At 36.5% G+C, this 21,075-nt stretch overlaps 5 annotated features.

The window, feature by feature from the left end:
- Positions 1,093–1,615: an enhancer, noted in NCBI's record as "OCT4-NANOG hESC enhancer chr8:43762306-43762828 (GRCh37/hg19 assembly coordinates)". NCBI's record gives its function as "activates a minimal SCP1, AML or CMV promoter by ChIP-STARR-seq in naive H9 embryonic stem cells {active_cell/tissue: H9 hESC(naive)}" and the evidence as "EXISTENCE:reporter gene assay evidence [ECO:0000049][PMID:30033119]".
- Positions 2,889–3,806: an enhancer, noted in NCBI's record as "OCT4-NANOG hESC enhancer chr8:43764102-43765019 (GRCh37/hg19 assembly coordinates)". NCBI's record gives its function as "activates a minimal SCP1, AML or CMV promoter by ChIP-STARR-seq in naive H9 embryonic stem cells {active_cell/tissue: H9 hESC(naive)}" and the evidence as "EXISTENCE:reporter gene assay evidence [ECO:0000049][PMID:30033119]".
- Positions 4,065–4,606: an enhancer, noted in NCBI's record as "OCT4-NANOG hESC enhancer chr8:43765278-43765819 (GRCh37/hg19 assembly coordinates)". NCBI's record gives its function as "activates a minimal SCP1, AML or CMV promoter by ChIP-STARR-seq in primed H9 embryonic stem cells {active_cell/tissue: H9 hESC(primed)}" and the evidence as "EXISTENCE:reporter gene assay evidence [ECO:0000049][PMID:30033119]".
- Positions 5,325–5,826: an enhancer, noted in NCBI's record as "OCT4 hESC enhancer chr8:43766538-43767039 (GRCh37/hg19 assembly coordinates)". NCBI's record gives its function as "activates a minimal SCP1, AML or CMV promoter by ChIP-STARR-seq in primed H9 embryonic stem cells {active_cell/tissue: H9 hESC(primed)}" and the evidence as "EXISTENCE:reporter gene assay evidence [ECO:0000049][PMID:30033119]".
- Positions 9,976–10,687: an enhancer, noted in NCBI's record as "OCT4-NANOG hESC enhancer chr8:43771189-43771900 (GRCh37/hg19 assembly coordinates)". NCBI's record gives its function as "activates a minimal SCP1, AML or CMV promoter by ChIP-STARR-seq in primed H9 embryonic stem cells {active_cell/tissue: H9 hESC(primed)}" and the evidence as "EXISTENCE:reporter gene assay evidence [ECO:0000049][PMID:30033119]".

Below are 21,075 nucleotides of genomic sequence, written 5' to 3' on the forward strand. Positions count from 1 at the left end.
TCTCTTTGATGTGTGCATTCAACTCACAGAGTTAAAACTTTCTTTTTGTAGAGCAGTTTTGAAACACTATTTTGTAGAACCTCCAAGTGGATATTTGGAGTGCTTTGAGGCCTATGGTGGAAAAGGAAATATCTTCACATAAAAAATAGACAGAAGCATTCTCAGAAACCTCTTTGTGATGTGTGCATTCAATTCACAGAGTTTAACCTTTCTTTTGATGGAGCAGTTTTAAAACGCTCTTTTTATAGAATCTGCAAGTGGATATTTGGAGTGCTTTGAGGCCTATGGTGGAAAAGGAAATATCCTCACGTAAAAACTAGACAGAATTATTCTCAGAAACTTCTTGGTGATGTGTGCATTCAACTCACAGAGTTGAACCTTACTTTTGATAGAGCGGTTTAGAAACACTCTTTTTGTAGCAACTGCAAGAGGATGATTGGAGCTTTTTGGATAAAAGGAAATATCTTCCCATAAAAACTAGACAGAAGCATTCTCAGAAACTTCTTTGTGATGTGTGCATTCAACTCACAGAGTTGAACCTTTCTTTTGATAGAGCAGTTTTGAAACACACTTTTTGTAGAATCTGCAAGTGGATACTTGGAGCACTTTGAGGCCTATGGTGGAAAAGTAAATATCCACACATAAAAACTTGACAGAAGCTTTCTCAGAAACTTCTTTGTGATGTGTGCATTGAACTCGCAGAGTTGAACGTTCCTTTTCATAGAGCAGTTCTGAAACATGCTTTTAGTAGAATCTGCAAGTGGATATTTGGAGTTATTTGTGGCCTATGGTGGAAAAGGAAATATCCTCACATAAAAACTGGACAGAAGCATTCTCAGAAACTTCTCTGTGATGTGTGCATCCAACTCACAGAGTTGAACGTTCCTTTTGATAGAGTGGTTTTGAAACACTCTTTTTTTAGAATCTGCAAGTGGATATTTGGAGACCTCTGAGGTCTATGGTGGAAAACGAAATATCTTCACATAAAATATAGACAGAAGCATTCTCAGAAACCTCTTTGTGATCCGTGCATTCAACTCACAGAGTTGAACCTTTCTTTGATTGAGCAGTTTTATCACACTCTTTTTGTAGAATCTGCAAGTTGATATTCGGAGCGCTATGAGGCCTATGTTGGAAAAGGAAATATCCTCACATAAAAACTAGACAGAAGCACTCTCAGAAACTTCTTTGTGATGTGGGCATTCAACTAACAAAGTTCAACCTTTCTTTTGATAGACAAGGTTTGAAACACTCTTTTTGAAGAATCTGCAATAGGATGTTTTTGGCGCTTTGAGACCTATTATGGAAAATTAAATATCTTCACATAAAATCTAGAAAGAAACATTCTCAGAAACTTCTTTGTGACGTTTGCATTCAACTCACAGAGTTGAACCTTCGTTTTGATAGAGCAGTTTTGAAACACTCTTTTTGTAGGATCTGCAAGTGGATATTTGAGCACTTTGTGTCCAATGTTGCAAAAGGAAATATCTTCAGAAATAAACTAGACAGAAGCATTCTCAGAAACTTCTTTGTGTTGAGTGCATTCAACTCAAACAAGTGAAACGTTCTTTTGAGAGGGCACTTTTGAAACAGTCTTTTTGTGGAATCTGCATGTGGATATTTGGAGTGCTTTGAGGCCTATGGTGGAAAAGGAAATATCCTAATATAAAAACTAGACAGAAGCATTCTCAGAAACTTCTTTGTGATGTGTGCACTAACTCACAGAGTTGAACGTTCCATTTGATACAGCAGCATTGCAACCCTGTTTTTGAAGAATCTGCAATGGGATGTTTTTAGCGCTTTGAGGCCTATGGTGGAAAAGGAAATATATTCACATAAAGCTAGACAAAAGCATTGTCAGAAACTTCTTTTTGATGTGTGCATTCAACTCACAGAGTTGAACCTTTCCTTTGACCGAGGAGTTTTGAAACACACTTTTTCTAGAATCTGAAAGAGGACATTTGGAGCACTTTAATGCCTAAGGTGGAAAAGGAAGTATCTTCACATAAAAACTTGACAGAAGTATTCTCAGAGACTTCTTTGTGATGTTTGCATTCAGTTCACAGAGTTGGCCTTCCTTTCGATAGAGCAGTTTTGAAACACTCCTTTTGTAGAATCTGCAAGTGGATTTTTGGAGCGTTTTGAGGCCTATGTTGGAAAAGAAAATATCCTCTCATAAAAGCTAGACAGAAACATTCTCAGAAACTACTCTGTGACGTGTGCATTCAACTCACAGAGTTGAATCTTTCTTTTGCTAGAATAGTTTTAAAACGCTTTTTTTGTAGAATCTACAAGTGTATATTTGGAGTGCTTTGAGGCCTTTGGTGGAAAAGGAAATATCCTCACATAAAAACTAGACAGAAGAATGCTCACAAACTTCTTTGTTATGAGTACATTCAACTCATAGAGTTGAACCTTCCTATTGATAGAGCAGTTTTGAAACACTCTTTATGTAGAATCTGCAACTGGATATTTGGAGCAATTTGAGGCCTATGGTGGAAAAGGAAATATGCTCAAGTAAAAACTAGAAAGAAGCATTCTCAGAAACTTCTTTGTGATATGTGCATTCAACTAATGGAGTTGAATCTTTCTTTTGATTGAGCAGTTTTGAAACACTCTTTTTGTAGAATCTGCAAGTGGATATTTGGAGCGCTTTGAGGACTATTGTGGAAAAAAATATCCTCACATAAAAAGTAGACAGAAGAATTCTCAGAAACTTATTTGTGATGTGTGCATTCTACTCATAGAGTTGAACCTTCCTTTTGATATAGCGCTTTTGAAACACTTTTTGTAGGATCTGCAAGTGGATATTTGGAGTGATTTGAGGTTTATGGTGGAAAAGGAAATATCCTCACATATAAAGTATACAGAGGGATTCTCAGAAACATCTTTCTGATGTGTACATTCATCTCACAGAGATGAGCCTTCCTTTTGATAGAGCAGTTTTGAAACACTCTTTTTGAAGAATCTACAAGTGGATATTTTGAGCCTTTCGAGGACAATGCTGGAAAAGTAAATATCCTCACATAAAAAGTAGACAGAGGAATTCTCAGAAACTTCTTTGGGATGTGTGCTTTCAACTCACTCAGTTGAACCTTCCTTTTGATAGAGGAGTTTTGAAACACTCTTTTTGTAGAATCTGCAAGTGGACATTTGGAGCGCTTTGAGGCCTATGGTGAAAAAGGAAATATCCTAAATTAAAAACTAGACAGAAGCGTTCCGAGAAACTTATTTGTGATGTGTGCATTCAACTCACAGAGTTGAACATACTTTTTTATAGAGCAGTTTTGAAACACTCTTTTTGTGGAATCTGCAAGTGGATATTTGGAGGACTTAGAGGCCTATGGAGGAAAAGGAAATATCTTCACATAAAAACTAGGTAGAAGCATTCTCAGAAACTTCTTTGCGATGAGTGCATTGAACCCTCAGAGTTGAACCTTTCTTTTGATAGAGCAGTTTTGAAACACTCTTTTTGCAGAATCTGCAAGTGGATATTAGGAGCGCTTTGAGGTATAAGGTGGAAAAGGAAATATGCTCACATAAAAACTAGACTGAAGTATTCTCAGTACCTTCTTTGTGGCGTTTGCATTCAACTCACAGAGTTGAACCTTCCTTTCGATAGAGCAGTTTTGAAACACTCTTATTGTAAAATCTGCAAGTGGATATTTTTATCTCTTTGAGGTCTATGGTGGAAAACAAAATATCCTCTCATAAAAACTAGTCAGAAGCATTCTCAGAAACATCTTTGTGATTTGTGAATTCAACTCACAGAGTTGAACCTTCCTTTTGATAGAGCAGTTTTGAAATACTCTTTTTTGTACAATTTTTAATTGGACATTTGGAGCGCTTTAAGCCAATGGTGGAATAGGAAATATCTTCACATAAAAACTAGACAGAAGCATTCTCAGAAACTTCTTTGTGATGCGTACATTCAACTCACAGAGTTGAAATTTTCTTTCAATAGAGCACTTTTGAAACACTCTTTTTCTAGAATCTGCAAGTAGATATTTGGAGAGCTTTGAGGCCTAGGATTGAAAAGGAAGTATATTCACATAAAAAGTAAACAGAAGCATTCTCAGAAACTTCTTTGTGATGAGTGCATTCCACTCTCAGAGTTGATCCTTTCTTTTGATAGAGCAGTTTTGAAACACTCTTTTTGTAGATTCTGCAAGTAGATATTTGGAGTGCTTTGAGGCCTAGGATTGGAAAGGAAGTATATTCACATAAAAACTAGACAGAAGCATTCTCAGAAACTTCTTTATGTTGTGTATATTCTACTCACAGAGCTGTACTTCCCTAAGTTTGAGCAGTTTTGAAACACTCTGTTTGTAGAATCTGCAAGTGGATATTTGGAGAGCTTGGAGGCCTGTGGTGGAAAAGGAAATATCTTCACATAAAAACTAGACAGAAACATTTTCAGAAACTTTCTTGTGATGAGTGCATTCAACAAACAGAGTTGAACCTTTCTTTTGATAGAACAGTTTTGTAACACTCTTTTTGTGGAATCTGCATCTGCATATTTGGAGCGCATTGAGGCCTTTGGTGGAAAAGGATGTGCCCTCAACATTAAAAACCAGACAAAAGCATTCTCAAAAACTTCTTTGTGTTGTGTGCATTCCACTCACAGAGTTGATCCTTTCCTTTGATTGAGCAGTTTTGAAACACGCTTTTTGTAGAATCTGCAAGTGGATATTTGGAGTGCTGTGAGGCCTATCATGGAAAAGGAATATCTTCACATAAAAACAAGACAGAAGCATTCTCATAAACTTCTTTGTGATGTGTGCATTCAAGACACAGAGTTGAAACTTTCTTTTGATACAGCAGCTTTGAAACACTCTTTTTGTAGAATCTCCTAATGCATATTTTGATCCCTGTGAGGCCTTATTTGGAAACGGGAATATCTTCACATAAAAAGGAGAGAGAAGCATTCTCAGAAACTTCTCTGTGTTTTTTGCATTCAACTCACAGAGTTGAAACTTTCCTTTGATTGAGCAGCTTTGAAACAATCTTTTTGTAGAATCTGCAAGTGGATATTTGGAACACTTTGAGGCCTATGGTGGAAAAGGAAATATCTTCACATAAAAACTAGACAGAAGCATTCTCAGAAACTTCTTTGTGATGTGGGCATTAAATGCACAGAGTTGAAATTTTATTTTGATACAGTTGCAACATCTGCAAGTGGATATTTGGAGCGCTTTTAGGCCTATGGTGGAAAAGGAAATATCTTCACATAAAAACTAAACAAACAGAGTCATTCTCAGAAACTTCTTTGTGATGTGTGCATTCAACTCACAGGTTTGAACTTCTCTTCTGATAGAGCAGTTTTGAAACACTCTTTTTGAAGAATCTACAAGTGGATATTTGGGATGATTGGCAGCTTATGGTGTAAAAGTAAATATCTTCACATAAAAATTAGATAGAAACATTCTCAAAAACTTCTTTGTGTTGTGTGCACTCAACTCACAGAGTTGAACTTTTCTTTAGATAGATCAGTTTTGAAACAGTCTTTTTGTAGAATCTGCAAGTGGATATTTGGAGGGCTTTGAGGCCTATGATGGAAAAAGAAATATTCTCACATACAAACTAGAAAGAAGCATTCTCAGAAACTTCTTTGTGATGTGTACATTCAACTGAGACAGTTAAACCTTTCTTTTGAAAGAGCAGTTTTGAAACACTGTTTTTATAGAATCTGCAAGTGGAATTTTGGAGTGCTTTGAAACTTTGGTGGAAAAGGAAATATCTTCACATGAAAACTAGACAGAAGCATTCTCAGAAGCTTCTTTGTGATGTGTGCATTCATGTCACAGAGATTAAACTTCCTTTTGACAGAGCAGTTTTGAAACACTCTTATTTTTTTTCTTTTTTCTTTTCTTTTTTTTTTTAATTTATTTATTTATTTATTTATTTATTTTTATTATTATACTTTAAGTTTTAGGGTACATGTGCACATTGTGCAGGTTAGTTACATACGTATACATGTGCCATGCTGGTGTGCTGCACCCATCAACTCGTCATCCAGCATTAGGTATATCTCCCAATGCTATCCCTCCCCCCTCCCCCCACCCCACCACAGTCCCCAGAGTGTGATGTTCCCCTTTCTGTGTCCATGTGATCTCATTGTTCAATTCCCACCTATGAGTGAGAATATGCGGTGTTTGGTTTTTTGTTCTTGCGATAGTTTACTGAGAATGATGGTTTCCAATTTCATCCATGTCCCTACAAAGGACATGAACTCATCATTTTTTATGGCTGCATAGTATTCCATGGTGTATATGTGCCACATTTTCTTAATCTAGTCTATCATTTTTGGACATTTGGGTTATGAACAGACACTTCTCAAAAGAAGACATTTATGCAGCCAAAAAACACATGAAAAAATGCTCACCATCACTGGCCATCAGAGAAATGCAAATCAAAAGTACAATGAGATACCATCTCACACCAGTTAGAATGGCAATCATTAAAATGTCAGGAAACAATAGGTGCTGGAGAGGATGTGGAGAAATAGGAACACTTTTACACTGTTGGTGGGACTGTAAACTAGTTCAACCATTGTGGAAGTCAGTGTGGCGATTCCTCAGGGATCTAGAACTAGAAATACCATTTGACTCAGCCATTCCATTACTGGGTATATACCCAAAGGACTATAAATCATGCTGCTATAAAGACACATGCACACGTATGTTTATTGCGGCATTATTCACAATAGCAAAGACTTGGAACCAACCCAAATGAAACAATCTTTTTGTAGAATCTGCAACTGGATATTTGTTTCCTTTGAGGCCTATGTTGAAAAAGGAAATATCTTCACATAAATGCTACACAAAAGCATTCTCTGAAACGTCCCTGTGATGTGTGCATTCAACTCACAGACTTGAACCTTTCTTTTCATAGTGCAGTTTTGAAACACTAGTTTTGTAGAATCTTCAGGTGGATAATTGGAGAGCTTTGAGGCCAATAGTTGAAAAGGAAATATCTTCATAGAAAAACTAGACAGACGCATTCTCAGAAACTTCTTTGTGATTTGTGCATTCAACTCACAGAATTGAAACTTTCTTTTGATATAGCAGTTTTGAAACACTCTTTTTGTAGAAACTGCAAGGGGATATTTGGAGTGCTTTGTGGCATATGGTGGAAAAGGAAATATCTTCACATTAAAACTAGACAAAATCATTCTCAGAAACTCCTTTATGACGTGTGCATTCAACTCACAGTGTTGAACATTTCTTTTGATAGAACTGTTTTGAAACACTCTTTTTGTAAAATCTGCAACTGGATATATGTTGCTCTTTCAGGCCTATGGTGCAAAAAGAAATACCGTCACATAAAATCTAGACAGAAGCGTTTTCCAAAACTTCTTTGCGATGTGTGCATTCAAGTCACAGAGTTTAACATTTTTTTTTTGACAGAGCAGTTTTGAAAGACTCTTTTTGTAGAACCTGCAAGTTGATATTTGGTTCCTTTTGAGGACTATTTTGGAAAAAGAAATATCTTCACATAAACACCAGACAGAAGCATTCTCAGAAACTGCTTTGTGATGTGCGCATTCAACTCAGAAAGGTGAAACTTTCTTTTGATAGAGCAGTTTTGAAACACTCTTTGTGTAGAGTCGGCAAGTAGATATTTGGAGTGCGTTGAGGCCTATGGTGGAATAGGAAATATCTTCACACGAAAACTAGACAGAAGCATTCTCCGAAACCTTATTGAGATATGTGCATTAAACTCACAGAGTTGCACATTTCTTCTGATAGAGCAGTTTTGAAACACTCTTTTTGTAGAATCTGCAAGTGGATATTTGAAGAATTTTGAGGCGTATGGTGGAAAAGGAAATATCTTCACGCAAAAACTGGACAGAATCAATCTCCAAAACTTCTTTGTGATGTGTGCATTCAACTCACAGGGTTGAAACTTTCTTTTGACAGTGCAGTTCTGAAACAATCGTTTTGTAGGATCTGCAAGTGGATATTTGGTTTCCCTTGAGGCCTACGGTGAAAAATAAATTATCTTCACATAAAAACTAGACACAAGCATTCTCCAAAATGTCTTTGTAATGTGTGCATTCAACTCAAAAATTTGAACCTTTCTATTGATTGTGCAGTTTTGAAACACTCTTTTTGTAGAATCTGCAAAGGGATATTTGTTTCCCTTTGATGCCTAACTTGGAAAACGAAGTATCTTCACATGAAAACTAGACAGAGGCATTCTCCGAAAATTCTTTGTGATGTGTGCATTCAACTCACAGAGTTGAACCTTCCTTTTCATAGAGCAGTTTTGGAACAGTCTTTTTGTAGTATCTGCAACTGGATATTTGAAGTGCTTTGAGGCCTATGATGGAAATGCAAGTATCTTCACATAAAAACTAGACACAAGCATTTTCAGAAACTTGTTTGTGATGTGTGCATTCAACGAACAGAGTTGAACCTTTCTTTTGATAGAGCAGTTTTGAAACACTCTTTTTACAGAAACTGCAAGTGGACATTTGGAGCGATTTGCGGACTGTTGTGGAAAAGGAAATATCTTCAGATAGAAAGTAGATAGAAGCATTATCAGAAACTGCTATGTGATGTGTGAATTCAACTCACAGAGTTGAACCTTCCTTTTGGTAGAACAGTTTTGAAACACTTTTTGTAGAATCGGCAAGCAGGCATTTGGACCGCTTTGGTGCTTTCGGTGGAAACGGGAATATCTTCACATAAAAACTGGACAGAAGCATTCTCAGAAACTTCTTTTTGTGATGTGTGCATTCAACTCACAGAGTTGAACCTTTCTTTTGATAGCGCAGTTATGAAAAACTCTTTTTGTAGGATTTGCAAGTGTATATTTAGAGCACTTAGAGGCCTATGGTAGAAAAGGAAATATCTTCACATAAAAACTAGACAGAAGCATTCTCAGAAACAACTTGGTGATGTTTTCATTCATCTCACAGAGTTGAACCTTCCTTTTGATAGAGCGGTTTAGAAACACTCTTTTTGTAGAATCTCTAAGGTGATTTTTGGACTGCTTTGTGGCATTCGGTAGGAAAGGGAATATCTTCATATAAAAAATAGAAGGAAGCATTCCCAGAAACTACTTCATGATGTGGGCATTCATCTCACAGATTTGAACAGTTTTTTTGGTACAGCAGTTTTGAAACACTTTTAGTAGAATCTGCAAGTGCATATTTGGAGTGCTTTGAGGCCTTCAGTGGAAACGGGAATATCTTCACATAAAAACTAGACAGAAGCATTCTCAGAAACTTCTTTGTGATGTGTGCATTCAACTCACAGATTTGAGCCTTCCTTTTGGTAGAACAGTTTTGAAACACTCTTTTTGTGGAATCTGCAAGTGGATATTTGGAGCGCTTTGAGGCCTTCGGTGGAAATGGGAATATCTTCACATAAAAACTAGACAGAAGCATTCTCAGAGACTGCTTTGTGATGTGTGAATTCAACTCACAGAGTTGAGCCTTCCTTTTGATAGAGCACTTTTGAAACACTCTTTTTGTAGAATCTGAAGGTGGATATTTGGAGTGCTTTGAGGCCTTCGGTGGAAACGGGGATACGTTAACATAAAAACTAGACAGAAGCATTCTCAGAAACTTATTTGTGATGTGCGCATTCAACCCACAGAGTCGAAATTTTCTTTTGATAGAACAGATTTGAAACACTCTTTTTGGAACCTGCAATTGGATATTTGGTTTCCTTTGGGGCCTGTTTTTGAAAACAAAACACCCTCACAGAAGAACAAAACAGAAGCATTCTCAGAAACTTCTTTGGGTTGTGTGCACTCAACTCACAGAGTTGAAAGTTCCTTTTGATAGAGCAGTTTTGAAACACTCTTTCTGTAGAATCTGAATGTGGATATTTGGAGTGCTTTAGGTCTTTTGTAGAAAAGGATATATCTTCACATAAAAACTGGACAGAAGCATTCTCAGAAACTGCTTTGTGAAGTTTGAAATCAACTCACAGTGTCGAAACTTCCTTCTCATAGGGCAGTTTTCAAACCGTCTTTTTGTAGAATCTGCAAGTGGATATTTCGAGCACTTTGAGGCCTTCAATGGAAACGGGAATATCTTCACATAAAAACTAGAGAGAAGTATTCTCAGAAACTTCTTTGTGATGTGTGCATTCAACTCACAGAGTTGAACATTTCGTTTGATAGAACAGTTTTGAAACAGTCTTTCTGTAGAATCTGCAAGTGGACATTTGGAGCGCTTTGATGCCTGTGGTGAAAAAGGAAATATCTTCACATGAAAACTAGACAGAATCATTCTCAGAAACTACTTTGGGATGTGTGGATACAACTCACAGAGTTGAAACTTTCTTTTGATAGGGCAGTTTTGAAACAATCTTTTTGTAGAATCTGCAATGGACATTTGGAGCGCTTTGATGCCTAGGCTGAAAAAGGAAATATTTTCACATAAAAACTAGACAGAAGCATTCTCAGAAACTTCTTTGAGATGTTTGCATTCAGCACACAGAGTTGAACCTTCCTTTTCATAGAGCAGTTTTGAAACACTCTTTTTGTAGAATCTGCAAGTTTATATTTGGAGCGTTTGAGGCCTATGGTGGAAAAGGAAGTATCTTCACATAAAAAGTAGACAGAAGCATTTTCAGAAACTTTTTTGTGATGTGTGTATTCATCTGACAGAGTTGAACGTTTCTTTTCATAGAGAAGTTTTGAAACATTCTTTTTGTAGCATCTGCAAGTGGATATTTGGAGCGTTTTGAGTCCTACGGTCGGAAAGAAAGCATCTTCACATAAAAAGTAGACAGAAGCATTTTCAGAAACTTGTTGGTGATGTGTGCATTCAACTAACAGAGTTGAACCTTTCTTTTGATAGAGAAGTTTTGAAACACTCTTTTTGTAGTATCTGCAAGTGGATATTTGGAGCTCTTTTAGGCCTATGGTGGAAAAGGGAATATCTTCACATAAAAACTAGAGAGAAGCATTCTCAGAAACTTCTTTGTAATGTTTGCATTCAACTCAGAGTGTTTAACGTTTCTTTTCGATAGAGCAGTCTTCTAACATCTTTTTGTAGAATCTTCAAGTACATATTTGGACCGCTTTGAGGCCTATGGTAGAAAAGGAAATATCTTCGTATAAAAACTAGACAGAATCATTCTCAGAAACTACATTGTGATATTTGCATTCATCTCACAGAGTTGAACCTTCCTTTTGATAGAGCAGTTTGGAAACACTCTTTTTGTAGAATCTGCCAGTGGATATTTGGAGGGCTTTAAGGCCTTCAGTGGAAACGGGAATATCTTCACATAAAAACTAGATAGAAGCATTCTCAGAAACTACTTTGTGATGTGTGCATTCAACTCACAGAGTTGAACCCTTCTTTTCATAGAGCTGTTCTGAAACAACCTTTTTGTAGGATCTGCAAGTGGACATATGGAGCGCTTCAAAGATTGAGGTGGAAAAGGAATTATCTTCAAATAGAAACTAGACAGAAGTATTTTCAGAAACTTCTTTGTTATGTGTGCATTCAACTCAGAGTGTTGAACCTTCCTTTTGATAGAGCAGTTTTGAAACACACTTTTTGTATTATCTGCAAGTGGATATTTGGAGTGCTTTGAGGCCTACGGTGGAAAAGAAAATGTCTCCACATTAAAACTAGACAGAAGTATACCCAGAAACTTCTTCCAGATGTGTGCATTCAACTCACAGAATTGAACCTTTCTATTAATAGAGCAGTTTCGAAACACACGTTTTGTAGAATCTGCAAGTGTATGTTTGGTTCCATTTGAGGCCTATGGTGAAAAAGGAAATATCTTCACATAAAAACTAGACACAAGTATTCTCAGAAACTACTTTTTGAAGAGTGCATTCAACTCACAAATTTGAAATTTTCTTTTGATAGAGCAGTTTTGAAACACTCTTTTTGTAAAATCTGCAAGTGGATATTTAGAGCAATTTCAGGCTTGTAGTGGGAAAGGAAATATCTTCACATTAAAACTAGACAGAATCATTCTCAGAAACTTCTTTGTGATGTGTGCATTCAACTCACAATGTTGAACCTTTCTTTTGATAGAACAGATTTGAAACACTCTTTTCCTAAAATCTGCAAGTGGATATATGATGCACTTTCAGTCCTACGGTGGAAATGGGAATATCTTCACATAAAAACTAGATAGAAGCATTCTCAGAAAATTCTTCGTGATGTGTGCATTCAACTCACAGGGTTGAAACTTTCTTATGATAGTGCAGTTTTGAAACACTCTTTTTGTGGGATCTGTAAGTGGATATTTGGAGTGCTTTGTGGCCTATGGTAGAAAAGGAAATGTCTTCATATAAAAACTAGACAGAAGCATTCTCAGAAGCTATTTTGTGATGTATGCCTTCAACTCACATAGTTGAAAGTTGTTTTTTTAGAGCAGTTTTGAAACCCTCTTATTGTAGAGTTTCCAAGTGGATATTTTGAGCACTTTGATGCCTACAGTGAAAAAGGAAATATCTTCACATAAAAACTAGACAAAATTATTCTCAGAAACTTCATCTTTGTGATGTTTGCATTCACCTCACAGAGTTGAACATTCCTTTTCATAGAGCTGTTTTGAAACATTCCTTTTGTGGAATTTGCAAGTGGATATTTGGAGTGCTTTGAGGCATTTGGTAGAAAAGGAAATATCTTCACATAAAAACTAGACAGAAGAATTCTTAGAAACTTCTTTGTGATGTGTGAATTCAAATCACAGAGTTGAGCCTTTCTTTAGATAGAGCAGCTTTAAAACACTCTTTTAGTAGAATCTGCAAGTGTACATTTGGAGTGCTTAAAGGCCTGAGGTGGAAAAGGAAATATCTTCAGATAGAAACTATACAGAAGCATTCTCAGAAATTTCTTTGTGATGTGTGCATTCAACTCACAGATATGAACCTTTATTTTGTTAGAGCAGTATTGAAACACTCTTTTTGTAGAATCTGCAACTGGATATTTGGATTACTTTGAGGCCTTCGGTGGAAACGGGAATATCTTCACATAAAAACTAGACAGAAGCATTCTCAGAAACTTCTTTGTGATGTGTGCATTCAACTGAGAGAGCTGAACCTGTCTTTTCATAGAGCAGTTTTGAAAGAGTCTTTTTGTAGTATTTGCAAGTGGATATTTGGAGCACTTTGAGGCCTAGGGTGTGAAAAAGCAAGTATCTTCACATAGAAAGTAGACTGAAGCATTCTCAGAAACTTGTTTTCTATGTGTGCATTCAACTAACAGAGTTGAACCTTTCTTTGGATAGAACTGTTTCAAAAATCTCCCTTTGTAGAATCTGCAAGTGGATATTTGGAGCTCTTTGAGGCCTACGGTGGAAACGAGAATATCTTCACATAATAACTACAAAGAAGTATTTTTAGAAAGTACTATTTGATTTTGCATTCAACTCAGAGAGTTGAACCTTCATTTTGATAGAGCAGTTTTCAGACACTCTTTTTGTAGAATCTGCAGTTGGGTATTTGGAGTGCTTTGAGGCCTATTGTAGAAAAAGAAATATCTTCATATAAAAATTAGACAGAAGCCTTCTCAGAAACTAGTTTGTGAATTGTGCATTCAACTCACAGAGCTGAACCTTTCTTTTGATACAGCAGTTTTGAAACACTCTTTTTGTAGAATCTGGAAGAGGACATTTGGAGCGTTTTGAGGCTTGTGGTGAAAAAGGGAATATCTTCACATAAAAACTAGACAGAAGCATTCTCAGAAACATCTTTGTGATGTTGGCATTCAACTAACAGAATTGAACTTTTCTTCTGAAACAGTAGTTTTGAAACACTCTTTTTGTAGAATCTGCAAGTAGATATTTGGAAGTCTTTTAGGCCTACGGTGGAAATGGGAATATCGTCACATAAAAACTAGACAGAAGCATTCTCAGAAACTTCTTTGTGATATGTACATTCAACTGAGATAATTGAACCTTCATTTTGATAGAGCAGCTTTGAAGCACACTTTTTGTAGAATCTGCAAGTGGATATTTGGAGCGTTTTGAGGCCTTCAGTGGAAAGGGGAATATCTTCCCATTAAAACCAGTCAGAAGCATTCTCAGAAACTTCTTTGTGATGTGTGCATTCAACTCACAGAGATGAACCTTTCTTTTGATGATAGAGCACTTTCAAAACACTGTTTTTGTAGAATCTGTGCTTGGACATTTGGAATGCCTTGAGGCCTGTGGTGAAATAGGATATATCTTTACATAGAGACAATTCAGAAGCATTCTCAGAAACTTCTTTCTGATGTGTGCATTCAACTCACAGCGTTGAACCCTCCTTTAAATGGAGCAGTTTTGAAACACTCTTCTTGTAGAATCTGCAAGTGAATATTTGGAGCAATTTGAGGACTAAGGTAGAAAAGGAAATATCCTCATATAAAAACTAGACAGAAGCATCCTCAGAAACTACTTTGTGATGTGAGCATTCAACTCAGAGTTGAAACTTTCTTTTGCTAGAGGAGTTTTGAAACACTCTTCTTGTAGAATCTGAAAGTGGACATTTGGAGCGCTTTGATGCCTATGGTGAAAAAAAATATTTTCACATAAACGCTAGACAGAAGCATTCTCAGAAACTTATTCGTGATGTTTGCATTCAACTGACAGAGTTGAACATTCCTTTTCATAGAGCAGTTTTGAAAGAGTCTTTTTGTAGAATCCAAAGGTGGATATATGGAGTGCTTTGTGGCCAACGGTGGAAACGGGAATATCTTCACATAAAAACTATACAGAAGCCTTCTCATAAACTACTTTGTGATGTGTACATCAACTCACAGAGGTAAGCCTTCTTTTTGATAGAGTAGTTTTGAAACACTCTCTTTGTAGATTCTGCAAGTGGATATTTGGAGCGCTATGAGGTCTGTGGTGGAAAAGGAAATATCTTCAAAAAGAAACTAGACAGAAGCATGTTCAGAAACTTCTTTGTGATGTGTGCACTCAACTCACAGAGTTAAATCTTCCTTTTGATAGAGCAGTTTTGAAACACTCTTTTTGTAGAATCTGCAAGTGGATATTTGGAGCGCTTTGGGGCCTATGATAGAAAAGGAAATAACTTCATATAAAAATTCGGAGAACCATTCTCAAAAACTACGTTGTGATGTGTGTATTCAACTCACAGAGTTGAACCTTTCTTTTGATAGAGGAGTTTTGAAACACTCTTTTTGTAGTATCTGCAAGTGGATATTTATAGCTTTTTGAGGCCTACGGTGTAAACGGGAATATCTTCACATAAAAACTAGACAGAAGAATTCTCAGAAACTTCTTCATGATGTGTGCATTCAACTCAGAGAGTTGAACCTTCCTTTTGTTAGAGCAGTTTTGAAACACTGCTTTTGTAGAATCTGCAAGTGTATATTTGGAGTGCTTTGAGGCCTATGGTAGAAAAGGAAATAATGCCATATAAAAACTAGACGGAAGCATTCTCAGAAACTACTTTGTGATGTGTGCATTCAACTAACAGATATGAACCTTTCTTTTGATAGAGCAGTTTAGAAACACTCTTTTTGTAGAATCTGCATGTGGATACTTGGATCTTTTTGAGGCCTATGGTGGAAACAGGAATATCTTCACATAAAAACTAGACAGAAGTATTTTCAGACACTTCTTTGTGATGTGTGCATTCAAATCAGAGCACTCAACTTTCCTTTTTATAGCGCAGTTTTGAAATACCCTTTTCGTACAATCCACAAGTGGATATTTGGAGCTCTTTGAGGTCTATGTTAGAAAAGGAAATATCTTCATATAAAAAGTAGACAGAAGCATTCTCAGAAACTACTTCATGTTGCTTGCATTCAACTCACAGAGTTGAACTTTTTTTTGATAGAGCAGTTTTGAAACACTCTTTTTCTATAATCTTCAAGTGAATGTTTGAAGCACTTTGAGGTATTCAGTGGAAACGGGAATATCTTCACATAAAAACCAGACAGAGGCATTCTCAGAAACTTCTTTGTGATGTGTGCTTTCACCTTACAGAGTTGAAACTTCCTTTTCATAGAGCAGTTTTTAAACACTCTTTTTGTAGAATCTGCAAGTGGACATTTGAAGCGCTTTGAGCCTATGGTGAAAAAGGAAATACCTTCACTTAAAAATTAGACAGGAGCATTCTCAGAAACTCCTTCATGATGTGTGCATTCAACTCACAGAGTTGAACCCTCCTTTACATCGAGCAGTTTTGAAACAGTCTTTTTGTAGAATCTTCAAGTGGATAATTGGAGCCCTTTGAGTCCTATGGAGGAATAGGAAGTATCTTCAAATAAAAAGTAGATGGAAGCTTTCTCAGAAACTTGTTTGTGATGTGTGCATTCCACTAACAGAGTTGAACTTTTCTTTTCTTTTGATAGAGCAGTTTTGAAAGAGTCTTTAGAAAGCTGAAACTGGATCCCTTCCTTACACCTTATACAAAAATCAATTCAAGGCGGATTAAAGATTTAAACGTTAGACCTAAAACCATAAAAACCTTAGAAGAAAACCTAGGCATTACCATTGAGGACATAGGCATGGGCAAGGACTTCATGTCCGAAACACCAAAAGCTATGGCAACAAAAGACAAAATTGACAAATGGGATCTAATTAAACTAAAGAGCTACTGCACAGCAAAAGAAACTACCATCAGAGTGAACAGGCAACCTAAAAAATGGGAGAAAATTTTCATAACCTACTTATCTGACAAAGGGCTAATATCCAGAATCTACAATGAACTCAAACAAATTGACAAGAAAAAAACAAACAACCCCATCAAGAAGTGGGCGAAGGACATGAACAGACACTTCTCAAAAGAAGACATTTATGCAGCCAGAAAACACATGGAAAAATGCTCATCATCACTAGCCATCAGAGAAATGCAAAGCAAAACCATTATGAGATACCATCTCACACCAGTTAGAATGGCAATCATTAAAAATCAGGAAACAACAGGTGCTGGAGAGGATGTGGAGAAATAGGAACACTTTTACACTGTTGGTGGGACTGTAAACTAGTTCAACCATTGTGGAAGTCAGTGTGGCGATTCCTCAGGGATCTAGAACTAGAAATAACATTTGACCCAGCCGTCCCATTACGGGGTATATACCCAAAGGACTATCAATCATGCTGCTATAAAGACACATGCACACATTATGTTTATTGCAGCATTATTCACAATAGCAAAAACTTGGAACCAACCCATATGTCCAACAATGATAGACTGGATTAAGAAAATGTGGCACATATACACCATGGAATACTATGCAGCCATAAAAAATGATGAGTTCATGTCCTTTGTAGGGACATGGATGAAATTGGAAATCATCATTCTCAGTAAACTATCGCAAGAACAAAAAACCAAACAACACATATTCTCACTCATAGGTGGGAATTGAACAATGAGATCACATGGACACAGGAAGGGGAATATCACACTCTGGGGATTGTGGTGGGGTGGGGGGAGGGGGGAGGGATAGCATTGGGAGATATACCTAATGCTAGATGACGAGTTGGTGGGTGCAGCGCACCGGCATGGCACATGTATACATATGTAACTAACCTGCACAATGTGCACATGTACCCTAAAACTTAAAGTATAATTAAAAAAATAAATAAATAAATAAATAAATAAAAGAAAGAGTCTTTTTGTATAATCTGCAAGTGGATATTTGGACCGCTTTGAGGCCTCCGGTGGAAACGAGAATATCTTCATATAAAAACTAGACAGAAGTATTCTCAGAAACTTCTTTGAGATGTGTGCATTCAACTCAGAGAGTGGAAAGTTCCTTTTGTTAGACCAATTTTGAAACACTGTTTTTGTAGAATCTGCAAGTGGATATTTGGAGCACTTTGAGGCCTACAGTAGAAAAGGAAATATCTTCACATAAAAACTAGACAGAAGGATTCTGAGAAACAGCTTTGTGATGTGTGCATTCCACTAACAGAGTTCAACCTTTCTTTTGATAGAGCAGTTTTGAAACACACTTTTTGTAGAATCTGTAAGTGGATATTTGGATCTGTTTGAGGCCTACGGTGGAAACAGGAATATCTTCACATAAAAACTAGACAGAAGCATTCTCAGAAACTTCTTTGTGATGTGTGCATTCAACTCAGAGAGTTTAACCTTCCTTATGATAGAGCAGTTTTCAAACACTGTTTTTGAATAATCTGCAAGTGGATATTTGGGGCGATTTGAGGCCTATAGTAGAAAATGAAATATCTTCATATAAAAACTAGACAGAAGTATTCTCAGAAACTATTTTGTGATGTGTGCATTCAACTCAGAAAGTTGAACCTTTCTTTTGATAGAGCAGTTTAGAAACACTCTTTTTGTAGAATCTGCAAGTGGATATTTGGAGCAGTTGGAGGCTTGTGGTAGAAAAGGAAATATCTTCATATGAAAATTAGACAGAAGCATTCCAAGAAACTATTTTGTGATGTTTGCATTCAACTCATAGAGATGAACATTTTTTTTTTGATAGAGCAGTTTTGAAATGCTCTTTTTGTAGAATCGGCAAGTGGATATTTGGAGGGCTTTGAGGCCTTCGGTGGAAAAGGGAATATCTTCACATAAAAACTAGACAGAAGTATTCTCAGAAACTTCTTTGTGATGTGTGCATTCAACTTACAGAGTTGAACCTTCCTTTTTATAGACCAGTTTTGAAACACTCTTTTTGTAGAATCTGCAAGTGAATATTTGGAGCGCATTGAGGCCTATGGTAGAAAAGGAAATATCTTCATAAAAAAATTAGGAGAAGCATTTTCAAAAAGTACATCGTGATGTGTGTAGTCAACCCACAGAATTCAACCTTTCTTTTGATAGAGCAGTTTTGAGACACTTGTTTTGAATGATCTGCAAGTAGATATTTGTAGCTCTTTGAGGCCTATGGTGGAAACGGTCATATTTTCACATGCAAACTCGACAGAAGCATTCTAAGAAACTGCTTTGTGATGTGTGCATTCAACTCAGAGTGTTTAACTTTCCTTATGATAGAGCAGTTTTGAAACACTCTTTTTGTAGAATCTGCAAGTGTATATTTGGAGCACTTTGAGACCTATAGTAGAAAATGAAAAAACTCCATATAAAAACTAGACAGAAGCATTATCAGAAACTACTTTGTAATGTGTGCATTCAACTAACAGATTTGAACCTCTCTTTCGATAGTGCAGTTTTGAAACACTCTTTTTGTAGAATCTGCATGTGGATATTTGGATCTCTTTGAGGCCTACGTTGGAAACAGGAATATCATCACATAAAAACTAGACAGAAGTATTTTCAGAAACTTCTTTGTGATGTGTGCATTCAAATCAGAGCGTTGAATATTCCTTCTTACAGAGCAGTTTTGAAATACCTTTTTTGTACAATCTGCAAGTGGATATTTGGAGCGCTTTGAGGCCTATGTTAGAAAAGGAAATATCTTCATATAAAAATTAGACAGAAGCAGTCTCAGAAACTACTTCATGTTGCGTGCATTCAACTCACAAGTTGAACATTTTTTTTTTTTTTGATAGAGCAGTTTTGAAAAACTCTTTTTGTAGAATCTGCAAGTGAATATTTGGAGCGCTTTGTGGCCTTAGGTGGAAACGGGAATATCTTCACATAAAAACTAGACAGAAGCATTGTCAGAAACTTCTTTATGATGTGTGCATTTAACTGACTGTGTTGAACCTTCCTTTTCATAGAGCAGTTTTTAAACATTCTTTTTGTAGAATCTGCAGATGGACATTTGGAGGGCTTTGATGCCTATGGTGAAAAAGAAAATACCTTCACATAAAAATTATACAGAAGCATTCTCAGAAACTCCTTCGTGATGTGTGCATTCAGCTCACAGAACTGAACCTTCCTTTACATAGAGCAGTTTTGAAACAGTCTTTTTGTAGAATCTTCAAGTGGATAATTGGAGTGCTTTGAGGCCTATGGAGGAAAAGGAAGTATCTTCATATAAAAAGTAGACGGAAGCATTCTCAGAAACTTGTTTGTGATGTGTGCATTCCACTAACAGAGTTGAACCTTTCTTTTGATAGAGCAGTTTTGAAAGAGTCTTTTTGTAGAATCTGCAAGTGGATATTTGGACCGCTTTGAGGCCTCCGGTGGAAACGGGAATATCTTCATATAAAAACTAGGCAGAAGCATTCTCAGAAACTTCTTCGAGATGTGTGTATTCAACTCAGAGAGTTGAAACTTCCTTTTGTTAGAGAAGTTCTGAAACACTGTTTTTGTAGAATCTGCAAGTGGATATTTGGAGCACTTTGGGGTCTATGGTAGAAAAGGAAATATCTTCAGATAAAAAGTAGACAGAAGCATTCTCAGAAACTTCTTTGTGATATGTGCATTCAACTCAGAGAGTTTAACCTTCCTTAAGATAGAGCAGTTTTGAAACACTGTTTTTGTAGAATCTGCAAGAGGATATACGGAGCGATTTGAGGCCTATGGTAAAGAAGGAAATATCTTCATATGAAAAGTAGACAGAATTATTCTCAGGAATTATTTTGTGATGTGTGCATTCAACTCAGAAATTTGAGCCTTCCTTTAGATAGAGCAGTTTAGAAACACTCTTTTTGTAGAATCTACAAGTGGATATTTGGAGCACTTTGAAGCCTATGGTAGAAAAGGATATATCTTCATATGAAAATTAGACAGAAGCATTCTCAGAAACTATTTGCGATGTGTGTATTCAACTCACAGAGTTGAAATATTCTTTTGATAGAGCAGTTTTGAAACACACTTTTTGTAAAATCTGCAAGTGAACATTTGGAGGGCTCTGAGGCCTTCGGTGGAAATGGAAATATCTTCACATAAAAAATAGAAACATTCTCAGAAACTTCTTTGTGATATGTGCATTCAACTCAGAGAGTTTAACCTTCCTTTTGATAGAGCAGTTTTGAATTACTGTTTTTGTGGAATCTGCAAGTGGATATTTGGAGCTATTTGTGGCCTATGTTAGAAAAAGTAATATCTTCATATAAAAACTAGACATAAGTATTCTCAGAAACTATTTTGTGATGTCTGCATTCAACTCAGAGAGTTGAGACTTCCTTTAGATAGAGCAGTTTAGAAATACTCTTTTTGTAGAATCTGCATGTTGGAATTTGGAGCACTTTGAGGCCTATGGTAGAAAAGGAAATATCTTCATATGAAAATTAGACAGAAGCATTC

Source organism: Homo sapiens, chromosome 8 (assembly GCF_000001405.40).
Source record: "Homo sapiens chromosome 8, GRCh38.p14 Primary Assembly".
Classification (NCBI taxonomy): Eukaryota; Metazoa; Chordata; class Mammalia; order Primates; family Hominidae; genus Homo; species Homo sapiens.